The following is a 1,652-nucleotide window of genomic DNA, read 5'->3' on the forward strand; positions in this document are numbered from 1 at the left end:
CCTGTTTCTCCACATCCTCTCCAGCACCTGTTGTTTCCTGACTTTTTAATGATTGCCATTCTAACTGGTGTGAGATGATATCTCATAGTGGTTTTGATTTGCATTTTTCTGATGGCCAGTGATGATGAGCATTTTTTCATGTGTTTTTTGGCTGCATAAATGTCTTCTTTTGAGAAGTGTCTGTTCATGTCCTTTGCCCACTTTTTGATGGGGTTGTTTGTTTTTTTCTTGTAAATTTGTTTGAGTTCATTGTAGATTCTGGATATTAGCCCTTTGTCAGATGAGTAGGTTGCGAAAATTTTCTCCCATGTTGTAGGTTGCCTGTTCACTCTGATGGTAGTTTCTTTTGCTGTGCAGAAGCTCTTTAGTTTAATTAGATCCCATTTGTCAATTTTGTCTTTTGTTGCCATTGCTTTTGGTGTTTTGGACATGAAGTCCTTGCCCACGCCTATGTCCTGAATGGTAATGCCTAGGTTTTCTTCTAGGGTTTTTATGGTTTTAGGTCTAACATTTAAATCTTTAATCCATCTTGAATTGATTTTTGTATAAGGTGTAAGGAAGGGATCCAGTTTCAGCTTTCTACATATGGCTAGCCAGTTTTCCCAGCACCATTTATTAAATAGGGAATCCTTTCCCCATTGCTTGTTTTTCTCAGGTTTGTCAAAGATCAGATAGTTGTAGGTATGCGGCGTTATTTCTGAGGGCTCTGTTCTGTTCCAATGATCTATATCTCTGTTTTGGTACCAGTACCATGCTGTTTTGGTTGCTGTAGCCTTGTAGTATAGTTTGAAGTCAGGTAGTGTGATGCCTCCAGCTTTGTTCTTTTGGCTTAGGATTGACTTGGCGATGCGGGCTCTTTTTTGGTTCCATATGAACTTTAAAGTAGTTTTTTCCAATTCTGTGAAGAAAGTCATTGGTAGCTTGATGGGGATGGCATTGAATCTGTAAATTACCTTGGGCAGTATGGCCATTTTCACGATATTGATTCTTCCTACCCATGAGCATGGAATGTTCTTCCATTTGTTTGTATCCTCTTTTATTTCATTGAGCAGTGGTTTGTAGTTCTCCTTGAAGAGGTCCTTCACATCCCTTGTAAGTTGGATTCCTAGGTATTTTATTCTCTTTGAAGCAATTGTGAATGGGAGTTCACTCATGATTTGGCTCTCTGTTTGTCTGTTGTTGGTGTATAAGAATGCTTGTGATTTTTGTACATTGATTTTGTATCCTGAGACTTTGCTGGAGTTGCTTATCAGCTTAAGGAGATTTTGGGCTGAGACGATGGGGTTTTCTAGATAAACAATCATGTCATCTGCAAACAGGGACAATTTGACTTCCTCTTTTCCTAATTGAATACCTTTTATTTCCTTCTCCTGCCTGATTGCCCTGGCCAGAACTTCCAACACTATGTTGAATAGGAGCGGTGAGAGAGGGCATCCCTGTCTTGTGCCAGTTTTCAAAGGGAATGCTTCCAGTTTTTGCCCAGTCAGTATGATATTGGCTGTGGGTTTGTCATAGATAGCTCTTATTATTTTGAAATACGTCCCATCAATACCTAATTTTTTGGGAGTTTTTAGCATGAAGGGTTGTTGAATTTTGTCAAAGGCTTTTTCTGCATCTATTGAGATAATCATGTGGTTTTTGTCTTTGGCTCT

The sequence above is a fragment of the Homo sapiens genome, chromosome 18 (assembly GCF_000001405.40).
Source record: "Homo sapiens chromosome 18, GRCh38.p14 Primary Assembly".
NCBI lineage: Eukaryota > Metazoa > Chordata > Mammalia > Primates > Hominidae > Homo > Homo sapiens.